This window comes from Homo sapiens, chromosome 1 (genome assembly GCF_000001405.40).
Source record: "Homo sapiens chromosome 1, GRCh38.p14 Primary Assembly".
Classification (NCBI taxonomy): Eukaryota; Metazoa; Chordata; class Mammalia; order Primates; family Hominidae; genus Homo; species Homo sapiens.
Window position 1 is genome coordinate 59,391,767 of NC_000001.11, and position 1,546 is coordinate 59,393,312.

The 1,546-nt window shown below is 39.1% G+C and overlaps 1 protein-coding gene across 55 annotated transcripts in view; it reads left to right on the plus strand.

Annotated features, from left to right (window-relative positions):
* Positions 1-1,546, plus strand: part of FGGY (FGGY carbohydrate kinase domain containing) — a 466,353-nt gene that overhangs the window by 95,389 nt on the left and 369,418 nt on the right. For 2 of the 55 annotated variants that reach the window (XM_017001678.2, XM_024448229.2), the window contains exon 1: positions 598-1,528. The exons of the other annotated variants lie outside the window; for them this stretch is intronic. The gene's annotated coding sequence lies outside the window, so the exon portion shown is untranslated. Of the gene's footprint in view, positions 1-597; positions 1,529-1,546 lie in introns of those variants that run through there. 55 annotated transcript variants of the gene reach the window in all.

Genomic DNA, 1,546 nt, shown 5'->3' on the forward strand with positions numbered 1-1,546 from the left:
TGAGCAGCAGTATAGCTTTTCCTTTACTGAACAATTTTCTCTGAGACCTTGAATCACTTTTGGAATTTAATTTCATTTGCTTTTTCAATATGATAAAGTAGAACTCTCTCTGAATTTGATTCCTCACTTACAAATAGATATGATACTATATTCTCTGTTGAAAATGTTTTGGAACTGTGAAGATGCTAGAGAGTTAGATCTCGTGTTTCAGGGAACAGAACTGAAACTCAGAAGGGTTTCATTCTGAGGGTGAAGCCAGTGTGTGGAATAAGAGTTAAATTTTAAGGGGTACATTCCTGGATCATGCCTTGTTCAGGAGTCTTTTTCCTGACCCAAGAAGGCCTCCCTCAGGATACAGTGGGCATCTCAGTCTTTGTGAACTCTTAAATTCATTTCTTACCCAGGGTGGCTAACTCTGTCAGTGGACTATTTTGTGAACTTCATACTTTCGGAATATGTTATACTTATGTGATTCTTGGTAGTCTCAAGAACCTTGGTAGAGGTTCAAATCAGTCAATCTGGTTAAAGGTATCAGTATTCAGTCTTGGAATCAAGTGGCACTAGAGCTCTTAAGGCTTGGCGGTTTTCAGGACCTACATCACAAGATACAGAAGTGGTGTGGCTTGGAGCTCGTAAGACTCGTGTCTGGTCCAACCAGGTAACTTGGGGCCCCTGGCACCCATATCAGACTTTTCTCATCTGCAAAATGTGCTGCTTGGAGTGGGTGATTTATTTAGTACTTCCCAGGCCCAAAGTTCTGAGTCTGTAAGATGTAGTGGGGTTGACCAGCATCTCCTTTTGGATTCTCCTTTAAAACTCATTCCTTTGAAAGGAGATTGCTAAAGTCAAACCTTAGAATCCAACCCTTTGGGCTATGATTTAATGTTAAAATGCTGTACCCTTTCCTTTCCTCCTTTTTCTCCTTTACTACTTCTATTTTGTTTCTTTTTCGAAAAAATATACCTTCTTTTAAAATTTTTCTTCATTTTTCCTTCTTCTCTGTAAATTATCAAGGGCCTTTGAAGAGAATTCTTACATGTTATTAAGAAATTGCAGTCAGGGAGCCCTCTGTTCCCAGATCATTTAGAAGATTGCTTTTCCTTTTGTTAAATACAAAAAATTGTCAACCTGTATTGTTAAAATGTGCCAAAAACTGCATTCACCAATAAAAAATGTCAGCTCTCATTATTGCCCAGATATTATTCTTTTCAAAAGCGGAGCACTCTTGCCAGGCTTTCTAAACAATCTTCAGCTCATTCATCTTCCTGGTTTTGTTACATTTTGAACCTCTCTGGGTCTATATAAGGTGGCAGCCTGTCTTTTAAAAATTAATGGATTCCAAATGCCATTCAAACCTATTTCCGCCCTTAACCTCCTCCTCTTCTCCCCAACCCTGCCTGTTAGGAGTCTTATGTTCTGTATAAATATTGAGCTGGAGATAGTTTCTAAAGAGGTGTTTGGACCTTTAATTAACATTGACAGCCTGTCTGCTTAGGATTTTGCTCTGCTGTCTCCATGGAAAAGTCAGGTAGGTCAGTATGTGGGG